This window comes from Homo sapiens, chromosome 2 (genome assembly GCF_000001405.40).
Source record: "Homo sapiens chromosome 2, GRCh38.p14 Primary Assembly".
In the NCBI taxonomy this organism is placed as follows: domain Eukaryota; kingdom Metazoa; phylum Chordata; class Mammalia; order Primates; family Hominidae; genus Homo; species Homo sapiens.
This window is the reverse complement of record NC_000002.12, coordinates 40225693-40245696: the sequence shown is the minus strand read 5'-3', so window position 1 is coordinate 40245696 and position 20004 is coordinate 40225693. Positions and strand designations below refer to the sequence as shown.

The 20004-nt window shown below is 39.7% G+C and overlaps 1 protein-coding gene and 1 long non-coding RNA gene across 24 annotated transcripts in view, besides 1 other annotated feature; one reads left to right on the top strand and one right to left on the bottom strand.

Annotated features, from left to right (window-relative positions):
- Nucleotides 1-20004, bottom strand: part of SLC8A1-AS1 (SLC8A1 antisense RNA 1) — a 337576-nt gene that overhangs the window by 9513 nt on the left and 308059 nt on the right. The window lies entirely within an intron of this gene.
- Nucleotides 1-20004, top strand: part of SLC8A1 (solute carrier family 8 member A1) — a 415166-nt gene that overhangs the window by 266739 nt on the left and 128423 nt on the right. The gene's annotated exons all lie outside the window — the stretch shown is intronic.
- Nucleotides 2887-3437: an enhancer, noted in NCBI's record as "OCT4-NANOG hESC enhancer chr2:40469400-40469950 (GRCh37/hg19 assembly coordinates)". NCBI's record gives its function as "activates a minimal SCP1, AML or CMV promoter by ChIP-STARR-seq in primed H9 embryonic stem cells {active_cell/tissue: H9 hESC(primed)}" and the evidence as "EXISTENCE:reporter gene assay evidence [ECO:0000049][PMID:30033119]".

Sequence of the window (20004 nt, the reverse complement as noted above, 5' to 3'; positions counted from 1 at the left end):
TAAAAAAAAAAAAGTTTGACTTTTTAAGTAATATAAAACAAAATGACAATATTAATGCAAAGACGTCTGGTTTGGCCTGATTTTGCTAAATTCAGTGGTTCAAGTGGATCTTGTATATTACTAGTTATTTTCAAAGCAGAAGCAAACAGGTACATACAGCACAGAGTCAGAGTGTCCAAAAGTTTTACCCTGTCAACTTCCAGGATTGCTATGTTGTCCTCCCATGCACTCTGTCCTGAGAAAATGCCACTAACCCACTTTAGATTTGCACCTTATTCTTCTGGTGGACACGTGGCCTTTCACTGTGAATTTTGTCATAAGGAAAATAACGACTTGAATGTATTTAACGGACAATCAGTGTGACTACGTAGTATATGTTTAGAGCTGGAGAGGGATATCAGAGAGATCCGGTATAGGCTCCCAAACTAAAGAGCTGAGTTTCACTAGGGAGAGAGAGACCTGTACATGAACAGCACAAATCACAGAATCCCAAGTTTCTCCTATGTGCCACTTCCATAAGACTGAGTCCACTGGAGTGGGAATGATTCCTAATTTATACTGAATTATTCTTTTGATTATTTTCATGGCTATCACATATGGTACATATCCTAGGCCATTTAAGGTTGCTCAATTATATTGGCTGCCTATTTTTAACATAGCCATTTATGTAACTCAAGAGTCAGGAAGCTACCTTTGAACACTGTAAATTGTCAAATGGTTTTTGATTTCCTAGGTTCCTTATCACTTGGCAAATATGTACAGCAGACCTTTTCCAGAGAATGAGTGCACTGGGACTTATCCCCCAGACATTCCTTCTCTTTGTTAAACCCACAGTCTCAGGCAGGGACTCCAGCAACCCTTTCCTCGGGAGGAAGAAGCCTCTAGATTTCAGGAGTGCCCTCCAGTGGCTGCTCTGCTAACTAATCCTCTACTGATCTCCCCAAGGCTGACTGGGGCAGCACTTCTTGCAGAGCTAAAGCCCAGCTGAAAACTGAGGTAGGATCTTCTCACTTAGAAATATCCAGCAGTAGGAAAAGGCCTCGATCATTGCATAGACAGGCTAAAATTGACGAGTGCTTTCTGTCAGAAAGTTTGTGGGGTTTGGTGCATTTTTTTTTTTTTTTTTTTTTTGGTTTTTCATATCATGCACACCACTTGCCTACTCAGCTCCAAAAACAACATTCTCTCACAGCAACTGCCAGGGAAAAACATGAGGTGGAAAAATCAGAGTAACGTCTTCCCCTGGGGTGACATTATACAGGAAAAGTCATCGGACAACTCCCAGCCTGGCCTTCATAGGTCAGCAGGAAAGGCTGTCATTACCTTAGTGTTGTTGGGAAATTTAAAGAGATAATAGATGTGGAAACGCTCAGAAGGAGACTCACGTAGTAGATGCTCAGTAAATGATGGCTGTTAGCCTGTGGGTCTCTTCATGTGCACTGACGCTTTCCTAATGTATCTCCCACCACTAAACCAAGAGTGCAGTGTATTTACTTACTTCCTAACCCCCTAGTGAGGAGATACCAGGAAAGCTTCAAAATTTCTACATAGGAAAGCTTAGAGGAGGTGATCTGGTAAGAATGTAAGGCTTGCAGCTGTGTTTTCACAGCACTTTCCATTAAATTGCTCAGATGTTCATTTTTTTTAATAACAAAAGGGCTGCTGATGGGAGCGTTGTCCCCCAGACCCTAGACCCCTCAGTAATTACTCAGAAATGTCACAGTCTCCCTAGAAGCTATCCATTCTGCCCACTTTTCCTCTTACGTTGCTCCAGTTTCAAGTATTCCCCTTGAGGTTTTAGAAATAATGTTTGTTTATCTAGCACTTAGACTCATCAGAGGGAAGGAGGCACTAGAGCATTCACATGGAATTCCTCCCCCACTTGAATATTTGTCAGGAAAAAAAATAGATTCAACTATAAATGTGCAGCAGAGTTGGTGCCTTCCCACTGTGAATGTATTTTCAAGTGCACGGACCAATCCACCACAAAGGAAAAATGCAATACCCTTCCAAAAATACACAGTGCTGATGTGATGTTGCATTCCTTTGTTCATTTTCCCAGAGCCAGGTTACAGGGCCATAGGCTCCATTTGAATAGACTTCTTAGTCTAAAACAGAGGTAAAATCAAGCTCAAAGCCATGATGTTACTTTTTATTTTTTCTTAAATACTGAACTTAGACTTGAGAAATCTTTCTTTTCTTTTTCTCTTTTTTGAGACAGGGTCTCACTTTGTCACCAAGGTTGGAGTACAGTGGGGTGATCTTGGTCACTATAACATCTACCTCCTAGGCTCAAGTGATCCTCCCATCTCAGCTCTCAAGTAGGTGGGACCGCAGACACTACCATGCCCAGTTTATTTATTTATTTGTATTTTTGGTAGAGGCAGGGTTTTATCATGTTGCCCAGGCTGGTCTTGAACTCCTGAGGCTCAAGCAATCCACCCACTTTGGCCTCCCAGAGTGCTGGGATTACACGCCTGGCCTTTATTTTCATGAATTGAAAATAGCTCTGGTAAGTTGTGAATTAACTCAGTTAAAGATTTAGGGGTTTCCTTAATATTCCATGCATCACAGCTATGATATGTAGAAACTAAGGGCAATGAAATGAGCCTTCAATGTCTGTATTCCTGCTTTTACTGGACATTCAGTAGACACTCGTATCCACGTTTGGTGAAGGAATGAATGAATGATTTGGCAGAACTACCTTGTATATCTCTGCAATGATCTCAGATTTAGGAAAATAATCTTAATAACTATGGAATAAAGATCAAAGCCTCATTAACTTTGCTTTTATAAAAATGGAGACAGCAAAAAGTATACCTTGCATGTGAAGTTTGTCTTTCTCGTCTGACTAACTTTGCCCAGAGACAAAAATTTAGTCTCTTTTTTTCTAAGCAAGTCTAGAAAGTCTTGAAACACAAGGCATGGTTGTATTTGTATTCCTCTTTGGTTTCTTGTTGTTTCTTGTAATTATAGATACCATATTTTAAAATCTCTGGATTTTGGTTTGCTTCTGCCTAGATGGGTAAGGCAATACCATGAGTAAATGTTGAAAGAGATGCCTAATGCAAAGAAGTGGTGGCAGCTGTTTCTATGACATTTGTAGACCTTTGACATTCAAGACGGTATCCCTGTAGAGCTTCACAAAGGGAGAGTCGAGTTGCTGGATGCAACCATTGTTCTTGTTAGTGGATGGAGATTTATAATTATACCCTTGTCTGCTCAGAGCACATGCCATAGGGAGAAGCAACATAAACACAGGCAGCATGGCAGGCAATCCAGGACAACAATGAGGTTACAAATTACACAAAGCGATTTCACCATTCATGAAATAAGCCTTATTTGCAAATATGAAAGGAAATGTGGACCTTTTATCTTTATGTTTTAGTTTGTTTTCCAAAATTACATTCACAAAGAACTAAACAGGCTTTACTTAAACATCTTTGATGTTTTCAGTCTGGCTTGTGGTAAAATTCTAATGGACACATTTCTCCAAAGTATTGTCATATTCATATTCATATTCTCTGTCTCTCTCTCACACACACACACGCACACACACACACATCCTTCTCACACTTAAATTGTAAGGCGTTACCACTTTATATAACAATATATTTAGTCAAAATGGAGACATCATAGCCCCATCAATATTTATTTTCTGGAGATCTGCCCCGAAGTTAGTAGCAAACTATAGGAAATAGATCAAATTATTGAGTGGAACACTGCTTGGATTAGGAATTATGAATAATTAATATTTTCTATATTTTATCCCAGTATTCAACAACATAAACATATTGTTTTTAGAATAAGAAAAAAACTGATATCTATTTTTCTGTCTGTTGATAAATCTGATCTTACTAGATTGGAACAAATAGGCAATGCTTATGGTGAAAAAGCTCATAGTCCTTAGGGGCTATGACAAGTGACAGGTCACTCTCAAAGCCTGTGGAGTTCTTTTCTAAAGTAGAGGATTCAGTATGGGTGTCTGTCCCAGGCTCTGAATTGGGATTAGATGGACCACCTTCACACTCTTCTTTCCCTACTCTGTTGTGGTCTTCAGAATTTGAAAAGGCAGGAAGGTTAATCACACCTCAAGGTTAGGGGAGGGCAAAGAAGAGGTCAAAGGGGGACAGGTATTTATGGTCACATATCAGGTACTTTACTCACATTGTGCTTTTTAATACCTGTGAGGAAGGAATTTATTATTTAAATTTCAACTTTTATTTTTGACGGAGGGGGTACATGTGCGGGTTTATTGTGTGATGCTGAAGTTTGGGGTGTGGATCTCGTCATTCAGGTACTGAGTACAGTACTGATAAAGTAGTTTTTCAACCCATGCCCCCTATTCCAGGTAGTCCAGAGTGTCTATTATACCCACGTTTATGTCCGTGTATGCTCAGTGATTATCTCCCATTTGTAAGTGAGAACACGTGGTATTTGGTTTTCTGTTGCTGTGTTAATTCGCTGAGGATTATGGCCTCCACTTGCATCCATATCACTGCAAAAACCATGATTTTGTTCTTTTTTATGGCTGTGTAATATTCCATGGTGTATATATACCGTATTAGCTTTATCCAATCCACTGTTGATGGGCACCTGACTTGATTCCATGCCTTTGCTATTGTGAATGGCATAGTGATGAACGTGCAAGTCCATGTGCCTTTTTGGTAGAATGATTTATTTTCCTTTGGGTATATACCCAATAATGGGATTGCTGGGTTGAATAGTACCTCTGTTTTAAGTTCTTTAAAAATCACGGAAGAAATTTATTGTCTCTATTTTAAAAGTGACAAATACACATGTGGGTCACTTTTTTTTGAGTCGGGGTATCATTCTGTCATCCAGGCAGTAGTGCAATGGCAATGATCATGGTTCACTGCAGCCTTGAACTCCTAGGTTCATGCAATCCTCCTGCCTCAGTCTCCTAAGTAGCTGGGAGTACAGGCAGGAGCTGCCATGCCCGACTTCACTTTTAAACTAGAAAAATGTGCTTGGTATGTAGTGAATGCTCAAGAAATATTTATGGAATGAATTATTCTAGTAGTACAGATTTATATGGCTTTGCATAGCTTATATATCTGTGTATTTATACAAAAAAGTGTTCATAAATGCACATTCATGTCCAAACATGTGAACAATAGAGAGACAGCCTCTCTGGGACTTGTTGGATATAGCAGGAATTTTTTTATTTCTCTAATACTACAGTGGGGTTTGCTTCAAAAACTCCTCTTAACCAATCCAAATAATGTCATTTCCCAGCTGTGGTGTTGCATTGGGTCCAGTTCAAGTGCCAAAAGCTCAGCCGAGAGGAAGCCAAAACAATCACATCCTGAATGGTTAGAGTATTTTCTACCCCTCATCACTGTATGACACACTGTCTCAGGGGCCTTCTAGAGCCTGGGGAGTCCTCCGCTCCGTCGGAGACTTGACTTGGCACAGAGCCTGCCATGTCGTCAGCCCTTAACAACAGTTACATAATAAGTACTCTCTGTATCTAGGGATAATCATTTCCCACTCATATTTTATAACTGTGAAGGCTTCCTTTCCCCCAAATATTATGCCATAACTGTGTGCACAAAATGATATACTGGAGTCCCAATTCATCATCAGATAGTTTTAAGCTAAGCTCCATAGATGTTTCCCAGGCTCTTGACTTGGAGGTAAGCGCTGGTTTCACAGTTGGCTTCATTATGAGCCTGGGACATTTCATTCACATGACTTCGGATTACAGAAGAGGTGAAGCAGTGGTTACAAATTGAGAAAACTACTCTTCTTACATTAAGATATTCGTTCGGTTTCCATGGGTAAAAGAAGTAATCTACATGCAATCAACATATTTAGTGAGGAGATACATACACTAAGGAGGATACTGAAATTTTATTTCATTAAGCAAATTGTACTTCACTCCTGTAACAATGTAAGTGGGGAATGAAAATTCAGGTATTCACATTCAGAATTTGATTTCTTTCCTTTATGAAAGAATGCACCAGTTTTTTTGTTTTTGTTTTTGTTTTTTTGAGACAGAGTCTTGCTCTGTTGCCCAGGCTGGAGTAGAATGCACCAGTTGTAACTGGCAGCAGAGAGGGCTGTATTTCACGAGGCAGCACAGTGACTGTGCATGGGAGGAGGAGAGTCAGAAACCCAACCCCTAATGCAGCCCTGCCACATTTACTTGTGTACCTCAGACAAATCACCTAACTTTTTTAGGCATTGGTTCCCTAATCTGTAATGCAATGGGTTGAAATAGAGGTCCTTTAGGTCTCTCAGCATTTAAAACATTCTAGCCCTAAATCTATTCACCTCATGTCAATAGAAAGCCCAAAGATGACAGAAACTAGGAAAAAAATCCAGATAACTCAGTGATCTTGGTGTGTGCCACTCAGACAGCTAATGGTCAAATATACTTCCATCAACAATAGGAGTAGTGATTGGGCAATATTAAAGATAGACACTAAAAAGCTAGAATTGGGGTACTGTGTTCACTTTTTAAATAAACCTACTTTATGCCCCTTTTTGCATGATTGACATTTGCTGACTGTTGTTTCCTTTTTAGGTGAAGATTACTATGGTATGATGTAGTCAGATTCTAGTTGGCAAACTTTACTAAATAATTTAGAAGCCTCCATAAAATTCTTTTTTTTTTTTCTGCTGCAATTTCATTAAAATTCATTTGGGGAACTATACTGCCTCAATAATAGAATTGTATCTTATGTTTTGGAACTGTTTCCATGACAACAATAACAGGTGCAAGTTCACATATATACATATGTTCATTTAAAAGGTTACTGCAGTTATCCCTGTAAAGGTAAATTTCACTGCAAATAACATCAAAGTACCTACATTGTTACTTTCAGGAGAAAATGGCTTCTATATATAATGATATACATTAATTTCCTCCAGATGAAAAAAAATTTATATAAGTAAAATCTCTGAACAATACTTGAGTTAATTTATATAATAGAAACTCATACTTAACTTTACAATAGACTATACAGATTTAAGGAATATAGAAGACTGATTGCATAGCTCTAGCTTGGGGAATATTGCCAGTAAGAAACAGAAGACGATCGAGGAGCCAAGATGGCCGAATAGGAACAGCTCCGGTCTACAGCTCCCAGCGTGAGCGACGCAGAAGACGGGCGATTTCTGCATTTCCATCTGAGGTACTGGGTTCATCTCACTAGGGAGTGCCAGACAGTGGGCACAGGTCAGTGGGTGCGCGCACCGTGTGCGAGCCGAAGCAGGGCGAGCATTGCCTCACTTGGGAAGTGCAAGGGGTCAGGGAGTTTCCCTTCCGAGTCAAAGAAAGGGGTGACGGACAGCACCTGGAAAATCGGGTCACTCCCACCCGAATACTGCGCTTTTCCAACGGGCTTAAAAAACGGCCCACCACGAGATTATATCCCGCACCTGGCTGGGAGGGTCCTACGCCCACGGAGTCTCACTGATTGCTAGCACAGCAGTCTGAGATCAAACTGCAAGGCGGCAGCGAGGCTGGGGGAGGGGCGCCCGCCATTGCCCAGGCTTGATTAGGTAAACAAAGCAGCCGGGAAGCTCGAACTGGGTGGAGTCCACCACAGCTCAAGGAGGCCTGCCTGCCTCTGTAGGCTCCACCTCTGGGGGCAGGGCACAGACAAACAAAAAGACAGCAGTAACTTTTGCAGACTTAAATGTCCCTGTCTGACAGCTTTGAAGAGAGCAGTGGTTCTCCCAGCACGCAGCTGGAGATCTGAGAACGGGCAGACTGCCTCCCCAAGTGGGTCCCTGACCCCTGACCCCCGAGCAGCCTAACTGGGAGGCACCCCCCAGCAGGGGCACACTGACACCTCCCATGGCAGGGTATTCCAACAGACCTGCAGCTGAGGGTCCTGTCTGTTAGAAGGAAAACTAACAAACAGAAAGGACGTCCACACCAAAAACCCATCTGTACATCACCATCATCAAAGACCAAAAGTAGATAAAACCACAAAGATGGGGAAAAAACAGAACAGAAAAACTGGAAACTCTAAAAAGCAGAGCGCCTCTCCTCCTCCAAAGGAACACAGTTCCTCACCAGCAACGGAACAAAGCTGGATGGAGAATGACTTTGATGAGCTGAGAGAAGAAGGCTTCAGACGATCAAATTACTCTGAGCTACGGGAGGACATTCAAACCAAAGGCAAAGAAGTTGAAAACTTTGAAAAAAATTTAGAAGAATGTATAACTAGAATAACCAATACAGAGAAATGCTTAAAGTAGCTGATGGAGCTGAAAACCAAGGCTCAAGAACTACGTGAAGAATGCAGAAGCCTCAGGAGCTGATGCAATCAACTGGAAGAAAGGGTGTCAGCAATGGAAGATGAAATGAATGAAATGAAGTGAGAAGGGAAGTTTAGAGAAAAAAGAATAAAAAGAAATGAGCAAAGCCTCCAAGAAATATGGGACTATGTGAAAAGACCAAATCTACGTCTGATTGGTGTACCTGAAAGCGATGGGGACAATGGAACCAAGTTGGAAAACAAGCTGCAGGATATTATCCAGGAGAACTTCCCCAATCTAGCAAGGCAGGCCAACGTTCAGATTCAGGAAATACAGAGAACGCCACAAAGATACTCCTCGAGAAGAGCAACTCCAAGACACATAATTGTCAGATTCACCAAAGTTGAAATGAAGGAAAAAAAAAATGTTAAGGGCAACCAGAGAGAAAGGTCGGGTTACCCTCAAAGGGAAGCCCATCAGACTAACAGCGGATCTCTCGGCAGAAACCCTACAAGCCAGAAGAGAGTGGGGGCCAATGTTCAACATTCTTAAAGAAAAGAATTTTCAACCCAGAATTTCATATCCAGCCAAACTAAGCTTCATAAGCGAAGGAGAAATAAAATACTTTACAGACAAGCAAATGCTGAGAGATTTTGTCACCACCAGGCCTGCCCTAAAAGAGCTCCTGAAGGAAGCACTAAACATGGGAAGGAACAACCAGTACCAGCGGCTGCAAAATCATGCCAAATTGTAAAGACCATTGAGACTAGGAAGAAACTGCATCAACTAACGAGCAAAATAACCAGCTAACATCATAATGACAGGATCAAATTCACACATAACAATATTAACTTTAAATGTAAATGGACTAAATGCTCCAATTAAAAGACACAGACTGGCAAATTGGATAAAGAGTCAAGACCCATCAGTGTGCTGTATTCAGGAAACCCATCTCACGTGCAGAGACACACATAGGCTCAAAATAAAAGGATGGAGGAAGATCTGCCAAACAAATGGAAAACAAAAAAAGGCAGGGTTTGCAATCCTAGTCTCTGATAAAACAGACCTTAAACCAACAAAGATCAAAAGAGACAAAGAAGGCCATTACATAATGGTAAAGAGATCAATTCAACAAGAAGAGCTAACTATCCTAAATATATATGCACCCAATACAGGAGCACCCAGATTCATAAAGCAAGTCCTGAGTGACCTTCAAAGAGACTTAGACTCCCACACATTAATAATGGGAGACTTTAACACCCCACTGTCAACATTAGACAGATCAACAAGACAGAAAGTCAACAAGGATACCCAGGAATTGAACTCAGCTCTGCACCAAGCGGACCTAATAGACATCTACAGAACTGTCCACCCCAAATCAACAGAATATACATTTTTTTCAGCACCACACCACACCTCTTCCAAAATTGACCACATACTTGGAAGTAAAGCTCTCCTCAGCAAATGTAAAAGAACAGAAATTATAACAAACTATCTCTCAGACCACAGTGCAATCAAACTAGAACTCAGGATTAAGAATCTCACTCAAAACCCCTCAACTACATGGAAACTGAACAACCTGCTCCTGAATGACTACTGGGTACATAACGAAATGAAGGCAGAAATAAAGATGTTCTTTGAAACCAACGAGAACAAAGACACAACATACCAGAATCTCTGGGATGCATTCAAAGCAGTGTGTAGAGGGAAATTTATAGCACTAAATGCCCACAAGAGAAAGCAGGAAAGATCCAAAATTGACACCCTAACATCACCATTAAAAGAACTAGAAAAGCAAGAGCAAACACATTCAAAAGCTAGCAGAAGGCAAGAAATAACTAAAATCAGAGCAGAACTGAAGGAAATAGAGACACCAAAAACCCTTCAAAAAATTAATGAATCCAGGAGCTGGTTTTTTGAAAGGATCAACAAAATTGATAGACCACTAGCAAGACTAATAAAGAAAAAAAGAGAGAAGACTCAAATAGACGCAATAAAAAATGATAAAGGGGATATCACCACCGATCCCACAGAAATACAAACTACCATCAGAGAATACTACAAACACCTCTACACAAATAAACTAGAAAATCTAGAAGAAATGGATAAATTCCTCGACACATACACTCTCCCAAGACTAAACCAGGAAGAAGTTGAATCTCTGAATAGACCAACAACAGGATCTGAAATTGTGGCAATAATTAATAGCTTACCAACCAAAAAGAGTCCAGGACCAGATGGATTCACAGCCAAATTCTACCAGAGGTACAAGGAGGAACTGGTACCATTCCTTCTGAAACTATTCCAATCAATAGAAAAAGAGGGAATCCTCCCTAACTCATTTTATGAAGCCAGCATCATTCTGATACCAAAGCCAAGCAGAGACACAACCAAAAAAGAGAATTTTAGACCAATATCCTTGATGAACATTGATGAAAAATCCTCAATAAAATACTGGCAAAACGAATCCAGCAGCACATCAAAAAGCTTATCCACCATGATCAAGTGGGCTTCATCCCTGGGATGCAAGGCTGGTTCAATATACGCAAATCAATAAATATAATCCAGCATATAAACAGAGCCAAAGACAAAAACCACATGATTATCTCAATAGATGCAGAAAAAGCCTTTGACAAAATTCAACAACCCTTCATGCTAAGAACTCTCAATAAATTAGGTATTGATGGGACGTATTTCAAAATAATAAGAGCTATCTATGACAAACCCACAGCCACTATCATACTGAATGGGCAAAAACTGGAAGCATTCCCTTTGAAAACTGGCACAAGACAGGGATGCCCTCTCTCACCACTCCTATTCAACATATTGTTGGAAGTTCTGGCCAGGGCAATTAGGCAGGAGAAGGAAATAAAGGGTATTCAATTAGGAAAAGAGGAAGTCAAATTGTCCCTTTTTGCAGAAGACATGATTGTATATCTAGAAAACCCCATTGTCTCAGCCCAAAATCTCCTTAAGCTGATAAGCAACTTCAGCAAAGTCTCAGGATACAAAATCAATGTACCAAAATCACAAGCATTCTTACACACCAACAACAGACAAACAGAGAGCCAAATCATGAGTGAACTCCCATTCACAATTGCTTCAAAGAGAATAAAATACCTAGGAATCCAACTTACAAGGGATGTGAAGGACCTCTTCAAGGAGAACTACAAACCACTGCTCAAGGAAATAAAAGAGGAAACAAACAAATGGAAGAACATTCCATGCTCATGGGTAGGAAGAATCAATATCATGAAAATGGCCATACTGCCCAAGGTAATTTACAGATTCAATGCCATCCCCATCAAGCCACCAATGCCTCTCTTCACAGAATTGGAAAAAAGTACTTTAAAGTTCATATGGAACCAAAAAAGAGCCTGCATCACCAAGTCAGTCCTAAGCCAAAAGAACAAAGCTGGAGGCATCACGCTACCTGACTTCAAACTATATACTACAAGGCTACAGTAACCAAAACAGCATGGTACTGATACCAAAACAGAGATATAGATCAATGGAACAGAACAGAGCCCTCAGAAATAATGCCGCATATCTACAACTATCTGATCTTTGACAAACCTGAGAAAAACAAGCAATGGGGAAAGGATTCCCTATTTAATAAATGGTGCTGGGAAAACTGGCTAGCCATATGTAGAAAGCTGAAACTGGATCCCTTCCTGACACCTTATACAAAAATCAGTTCAAGATGGATTAAAGACTTAAACGTTAGACCTAAAACCATAAAAACCCTAGAAGAAAACCTAGGCATTACCATTCAGGACATAGGCATGGGCAAAGACTTCATGTCTAAAACACCAAAAGCAATGACAACAAAAGCCAAAATTGACAAATGGGAACTAATTAAAATAAAGAGCTTCTGCACAGGAAAAGAAACTACCGTCAGAGAGAACAGGCAACCTACAGAATGGGAGAAAATTTTCGCAACCTACTCATCTGACAAAGGGCTAATATCCAGAATCTACAATGAACTCAAACAAATTTACAAGAAAAAAACAAACAACCCCATCAAAAAGTGGGCAAAGGACATGAACAGACACTTCTCAAAAGAAGACATTTATGCAGCCAAAAAACACATGAAAAAATGCTCATCATCACTGGCCATCAGAGAAATGCAAATCAAAACCATGAGATACCATCTCACACCAGTTAGAATGGTGATCATTAAAAAGTCAGGAAACAACAGGAGCTGGAGAGGATGTGGAGAAATAGGAACACTTTTACACTGTTGGTGGGACTGTAAACTAGTTCAACCATTGTGGAAGTCAGTGTGGCCATTCCTCAGGGATCTAGAACTGGAAACACCATTTGACCCAGCCATCCCATTACTGGGTATATACCCAAAGGACTATAAATCATGCTGCTATAAAGACACATGCACACGTATGTTTACTGCAGCATTATTCACGATAGCAAAGACTTGGAACCAACCCAAATGTCCAACAATGATAGACTGGATTAAGAAAATGTGGCACATATACACCATGGAATACTATGCAGCCATAAAAAAGGATGAGTTCATGTCCTTTGTAGGGACATGGATGAAATTGGAAACCATCATTCTCAGTAAACTATCGCAAGAACAAAAAACCAAACACCGCATATTCTCACTCATAGGTGGGAATTGAACAATGAGATCACATGGACACAGGAAGGGGAATATCACACTCTGGGGACTGTTGTGGGGTGGCGGGGGGGGAGGGATAGCACTGGGAGATATACCTAATGCTAGATGACGAGTTAGTGGGTGCAGCACACCAGCATGGCACATGTATACGTATGTAACTAACCTGCACAATGTGCACATGTACCCTAAAACTTAAAGTATATAAAAAAAAAAAAAAACAGAATACAAAGTTGGACAGTAATGGAAAATTATTAGGACTGCTTCCACAAAGGCCATTCAATGTGAGGATGTAAGGTTAAATTCCCTTCCCTATCCTCCCCTAATCCCCAATCTCTTTGTGTAAATAGAGGCCATTCGAAAGGCACACCACTCTATATAAACCTTGCTATCCCTTGAAAAAAAAACTGAAGACAAAAAAAAAATAACTTGCACCATATTCACATGCCCCATCTCTCTTAAAATAATACAATCTGTCTGTAATCAGAACATCTATGTGCCAACCAAAAGATGACACACCTACCTGTATGCCCCTGATTTCTTCTGCCTTCTGTTACATCTCTACAGTGTAGGTGCCCAGAGTTAAGAGTTTGAAAGAAGGTAGAGCACAAATGTCTTTTTGAAATGTTCAGGGTCTCCTAAGGTTTTCCGTTTCCAAAGCCCGTTTACTAGATCCTGATCCTTTGTGCTTTGACCTTCAGTGATCTACCACCTCTCCCAAGCCTTGCTTGATTTTTTGAACTGGACCCATTTCCTGCTAAAATCTTCCTGGCCTGCTTCATCTTAGGACACAGCCCCATTCTATTGGATTTTATTAGATTCTTCATCTCAGAAACTGTATCTTATTCCTATTTGCTCTCACACCTCCAGTTCCTCGTCGAGTCCCTCCTATATTATAGGTATCCCAGGCCAGTCCAGGGACAGCCAAGTTTGGTTCCAGTGTCCCTAACCTAGGCTAGATTGATTCAAATGAGAATGCTGAAATAAGGAAATAGGTTCCCAAAGTAAGTTGCTTATATAGGTGATGGTAAAGGTGGATGCTATTGATGTGGGTGTTGCTAGTTCTTGATGAAAAATACACACACCAGATGGCAGCTTAACCTGAGGAGTTTGTCTTCCAAGTGCGATTTATGTGAAAGAGATGAGAGAATATAATTGTCCAAAGCTCAGGGGAGGAGATCAGTGTGAGGGGATCTGCAGAAGAATTAATTGTAAGACAAAGGTGAGAACACTAGACTCATGATAGATGGAAAACCCATTTGAAGTGAGTTCTGGAAGACAAGAATGAATAGTTCAACTGAGACTCAAAGAAAATAAAAAAAAGAGTGTGAAAAGTGGGGGACTAGATATAGCCATTTAGAGAGAAATGGGCAGCCACCCTCCAAAGTATCACCTATAAAGATTAAATGGGAAGATTTGAAATCCTGAGCAACCCTAAAGACCTGTAGATGTGGATCAGGTATATCCCCAATTAGATGTGAATGCCATAAGTCCAATGAACATTTTCCATTTCTTACATATGCACATTTCCCGTGTCTAATATATGTGCATACATATATTACACTCTTCAGAATTTAACTCCATTGTAGTTCTGTACATGTCATGGCACTTTTTTTCAGCTCAGAAAGCAACTGTGCCAAGAACCAGCACCTCTCTTGTAGAAGTGGCATTTCTCAGTCTTCTGGAAACTGAGCATTCCTTATCTTATGCCCTAAGGCAAAGCAGGCCAGGGAGAATGTAGAAGCTATGAGTCCCGTTCAGAGAATCAAGCAAGGCCTAGGAGAGGTGGCAGGTCACTAAAAATTGGGCTTCATTTCCAACTTACCACTCGGTTTGATGATAAAGTCTGGACACTTGAGTATTTGTGCATCACACAAAAGAGACTTGTTTCAAACCACACCCACTATTTCTGCTTTCCACATAGATGGCAGCAGACATCTGCATGTGGAGAACTCCCTCCCATATGAGGCAAGTTTTCAAAAAATGACAAAGTGGCTGTTTTAAATGTAGAGTGAACAGAACCATCATAGTAATCTGTTTATGAAAGTACATTTATTTTTTGTTCTTGTAAGCTGTAAGTAAATATGGTATAGAGCAGAACTGGATTTGCTTACAACATTTTGCATTAAATTTTACATGAATATCCATATATGTTCATTAATTCTAAATGATAATTAATTATAATTTTAAAGAAAAACTGATCACATAGTAGCATTTTTATTCTTTGAACCATTTCTAATTTGCACACGCCTATCATGTGTATCCTTTATAGTGATTAAGAGTTGATGTAGAATGAAGATTGTGAAACAGGTGAAGGCAACTGTTTATTTTGTTTTACCTTGTGGATCTAAGCAGCATTTCTCACTTGAGCCAAGGTGCAATGTGTGGCTGTTATAATGAAAGCCATCCTGTGGGCTGCTTATAAAGAAGCACTGATGGAATTAGAATGAGGTAGTGAAGGTAACAGCATTCCAGGAAGTGTTAAAGGGATGAAAAAAGTGATAACAGCAAGAAGCTTATGTGTCACAGGCTTTATTTGGAGCCAAGGATTTCTATAAACAAAAGTAGGGGAAGACAAGACACATCTAGCAAAACTAGAATCTTTAGAGTAACCTGTAATGTTTCTGGACTAGCGAGACCTTCCTATAATTCAGTACTTATCATAGGATGGCTTGTCTTTCAGCGTGGAGCCTAAGAAAAAGCTCCCAAGTGGGGATCTAGAGATGGATTGCAGCCCTAGCTCTGATGATGCCAGCTCTGGAACTTGTAACCAATCAGTTCTTCTTTCTGGACTACAGTTTCAAATTTGAATAATAAGAGTTTTGGTTTAGTTGATCTCTAAGATTTTTCATAGAACAATAACAACATAAAAGATATGTGATTCCATCAAAAAAGATATGAACTTATTTATCTTTTGCTATTGCTATAATCATCAGTAACTAGACTTAGGTGTACATATCTTTAACCTGCATACTTTTGCCTAATACTTTTTTTACATGTGCATAACTGTTTTTTAAAGAACCAAGCACACAATACAGGAAGGCAAAAAGTAAGATATAAGATACAGCACACGAATTTTGCCTGGCTAGTTCCAGAAGCACTCTAGAAAAGTATAGTTGTTAGGTTATGTTTGGAGGATCATAATGAACCTTTCCAGGAAAGGATGGAACGTGGAGATGATGCACATTAATGACACTGATGTGGTGTTGTGAAAATATGAAGAGCTGTAAGGACTTATTTAGGAGATTTGCCATTGGAGAGTCTTGCAAACAATATCAACTTTTGACTGACTGAATGAATAAAGTTTTGCAGCTGCACAGATAACACAGAAGAGAGTTTAATGCAAGGACAAGTTCTATTCAGCTTTGAAAAAAATTAAGGAGATTCTCTAACAACAGATTTTTTTTAAGTGTTTTCTCTGTTTAATTAATGCCCAAGTTGTGATTGGTATCTGTAATTACAAATATATTTATTTATAGGAAAATATATTTCTGTTGAACAGTGGCATTTTCATTTTTTTATTTTTTATCATTACAATTGTGAAAATAGTATTCTTGCAACTTAGTAGGGTCATGAGCCATTCAGTTTCTCTAATTGATACCTCTTCCACTCAATTTTCATCCCTTTGTTAAGGAACCAATTCAGTTTACATGTGATCAGCAGCCAGGTAAACAGCTTTTAGGGACATGGTCAAAATGAAAGCTAGAAATCATTTCAGCTTTATGGTTATGGTTATTAGATTATGTATAAAATAAAAATAATTTGCTAGCATGTGAACATTTTGGCACTGCATGTAAACCATTATGAAATTAACCATAATGATGGCTTGAGTATATGAAAAGATTATGCTTGCTTTTCCTTTCTTATGGTTAATAAAAGGAGACAATTTAGTAAAATATGTAATTTGCAAAAGGAACTGTAAAGTGAATAACTTCCATATAATCAAAACATTCTGCAAATTTCTCTAACAATAGGTATAGCTTTTTTCCACCCTCCTCCACCCCTGACACCTCACCTTGGATTGGTGATCAAGTCTAGTTACTTGACTATTTATGCATCAAAACAGGTGGATTTTAAACTGCTTTGAGGCTCGCCTACCATTTCTGCGTTCAACATAGATGGCAGCAGATATCTGCATAGAAAAGCTCCCTGCCACCCAAACCTTTAATGAGGACTAGAATATGGCAGTAATGGAGTTGGCCCACAGTGAAGACCTGGGGGTCTTTCATTAAATGAAGTTCAGTGATGCCAACACATGACTGCCAATGCCAGGTCCCACAGCAGGGCTTTTTCCACTGTGGGATTTTGGCTGCAGCCGTTGGCTTCTACTGTTGAATTCCCCAGATTTGTTTCGTAGACAGCTGCAGCTGCCTCCAGTTGGCTTTAATTCCAATGTCATGCCAATGTAGACAGCAGCATTTCCGCAGCCTTTTCCACATCATGTAGCCATAAACATGAAGACTAAATCTATCTATACTGCTTTAAGTATAAGAATTCTTACATAAGCATATTTGATTCTTGTGGTGTGTATGTGATCTTTGCATAGGCATACTTACAGCTAATGTCTGCTGCAGGCAGGGAAAAATATTATGTATATGATGTCAAAGCTTGGGTAACCTTTACACTGCAATGAAAATATATGGGATGACTGACTTTCATCATTCTGTATTCCATAGCAGTGAACAGGAATTTGTCAACACTTGCACTGATGAAAGGCAGTCCTCAAGACAAATGGTTTTTTAATTAAATAAATAATTGCATTAGAAAAGAGAAAAGTAAATTTAAGCCCACGTTATGAATATTCTCATTACATTTCCACTTGTGGGTATTCATTCATCAGCATGATCTGAATTTTACGTATGTAAAACATGGGTAATAACCATTTCTAGACTTGAAGCCCTTTGAAGACAGGGAGTAGCTCATTATTCTCTGAGTTTCTCCTAAGATACAGGAACAAACTGAATCTAAACAACACAACTAACTTGTTGGTCATATATAGCACCGTGCTGTCATTGTTCAGTGCCTTAGTCCTGGGCATATGACTAGAGACAAAAAGGCAGAACCCCTAATTCCAAAGAACCTCATCAAGGAGATTTATTATTATTATTATTAAACTTTTAAGTTTAGGGGTACAAATGCAGGTTTGTTACATAGATAAACTTGTGTCATGGGGGTTTGTTGTACAGATTATTTCATCACCTAGGTATTAAGCCTAGTATCAATTTTTTTCCTGATGCTCTCCCTCTTCCCACCCTCCAAAAGACCCCAGTATGTGTTGTTTCCCTCTGTGTTCATGTGTTCTCATCATTTAGCTCCCACTTGTAAGTCAGAACACGTCGTATTTGGTTTTCGGTTCCTGTGTCAGTTTGCTAAGGATAATGGCCTCCAGCTATCCCGTGTCCCTGCAAAGGATGTGGTTATTTGCATATGCTATGACTAGGGTATAAAGAAAGGAAAACAGAACACTCTGTGAGATCACAGAGTGTGGTACTCATTCAATCTCAAGCTGGAGTGGTGAGAAAGAAAAACAGTAGGGAAGATATTCTATTACAGATAGATAGGTCCCCTGTTTTCAGGTTGGAAATAATTTTGCTGTGGAGACTATATTAACTCACAAAACAAAGAACCATAAAGAAGTACAAACTTAAATGTTGAATTTTAAATATTAGTTCCTTGTTATATAAAGAGTTCTAAGAAAAGATCAGAACTTTTGATACCCAGCCAGAATAATCAAGAAAATCCCCTGGGGAAAGAGGGTCTGGAAGTATTACTGTCCACTACCCCATTTAAAACTTGATGGTGAGTCCCATCAAGTAATGTCCCTGTTGTTAAAATGTCTCTTAGTTGTGATCATTTTCTAGCTCTGTGTTTTTCAAGAGAGCTATTTTAACATAGAACAGTATTAGATGTGTTTTGTTCACATGTTTTATTATAGCTCCAGGCCATTACATTAGCAGTGTTACTACACTTGCCTTCTATTAATAGATGCTCATTAGTGGCACTTCCATTAACTAATTTCAGGATTATACTAAAAGCTACCAAGTAATCTTTTAGATCATTCATTAGCAGTTGGATGCCTGCATTTGCTTCTCTTATGGACATTCAAGTGTGTACACATTAGTCAAAGATGCTTCCACTTCATCTCTGAAGGAAACAAAATGTAAGTCTGTCTTAATACCTACACTGTTGGCTCTTCTCTTCTGCCTCTAGAGTGGAGGGAAGCAAGGTGGAAGAATCTAGACCCTTTCCAGAATCCTGAGTGACTGTAGTTGACTCCTTTGTAGAGCAAGGATTTAGAGGCAAGATCTGTGTACAGAAACCAGATTATTCTCAAGTGCCTTGGCATTCTAGACTTTCCCTGTGCCTTGGCAGATGCATGATTCCTGCATGCAGTCTATACATTTCCAAGCCTTCATTATAATTTCTTACGGACCACAATGCCTACCCTAGAAGTCATGGAAGTTTGCAGCACAATGAATATACATGCCATGCAATGCATCCAAACCTCCAGCCTCTCTTGAGCCTTGGATCATTATGTAATTACAGAGAAGTTGCACAAATCCAGCAAGGCTAAGTTTGAGTAATTACATTGCAATAATGGAACCAGACCAATTTGCCATCCTTTGCCCTTCCCATTGCCCAGCAGGCTCCCCTGTGCTTGTGAAGTAGCTGTCACAGCAAGGCCCGACTTTTAGGGGAAAAGCAATAAAACCAACTGTCATCTCATGTAATGTAAAATATGTAAGTTATCCAGACTAATTGCAAGCAAAGCTGGCTTGAGAATTCATCACAAGCCTGTGCAGAAAAAAGAGTATTGTTTACCATCTTATTTACTTGCCTGCTAAGCTAGTGGAGCTCACCAATTATGTAAAAGCATCAGGATTGTCTGCAAAGCAGTGTATAAATAGAGCAACTCTAACGCTGAAGCTTGCCATTCAAGTGATAAACATACTTGTCTGTGTCTGGCAGCTCACAAAATTACACCAGAGGAATCTGTTTATCCAAGTGAGGCCAAGGTAAAGTGTGATGCTTAAGTTGTGGTGTCACCAAAAGGCAACTTTGGGAGGGGCTTTCACCTCCCCATCTGTCTCCATCAGCCACCCCAACTCCCACTGGAACACTGTCTA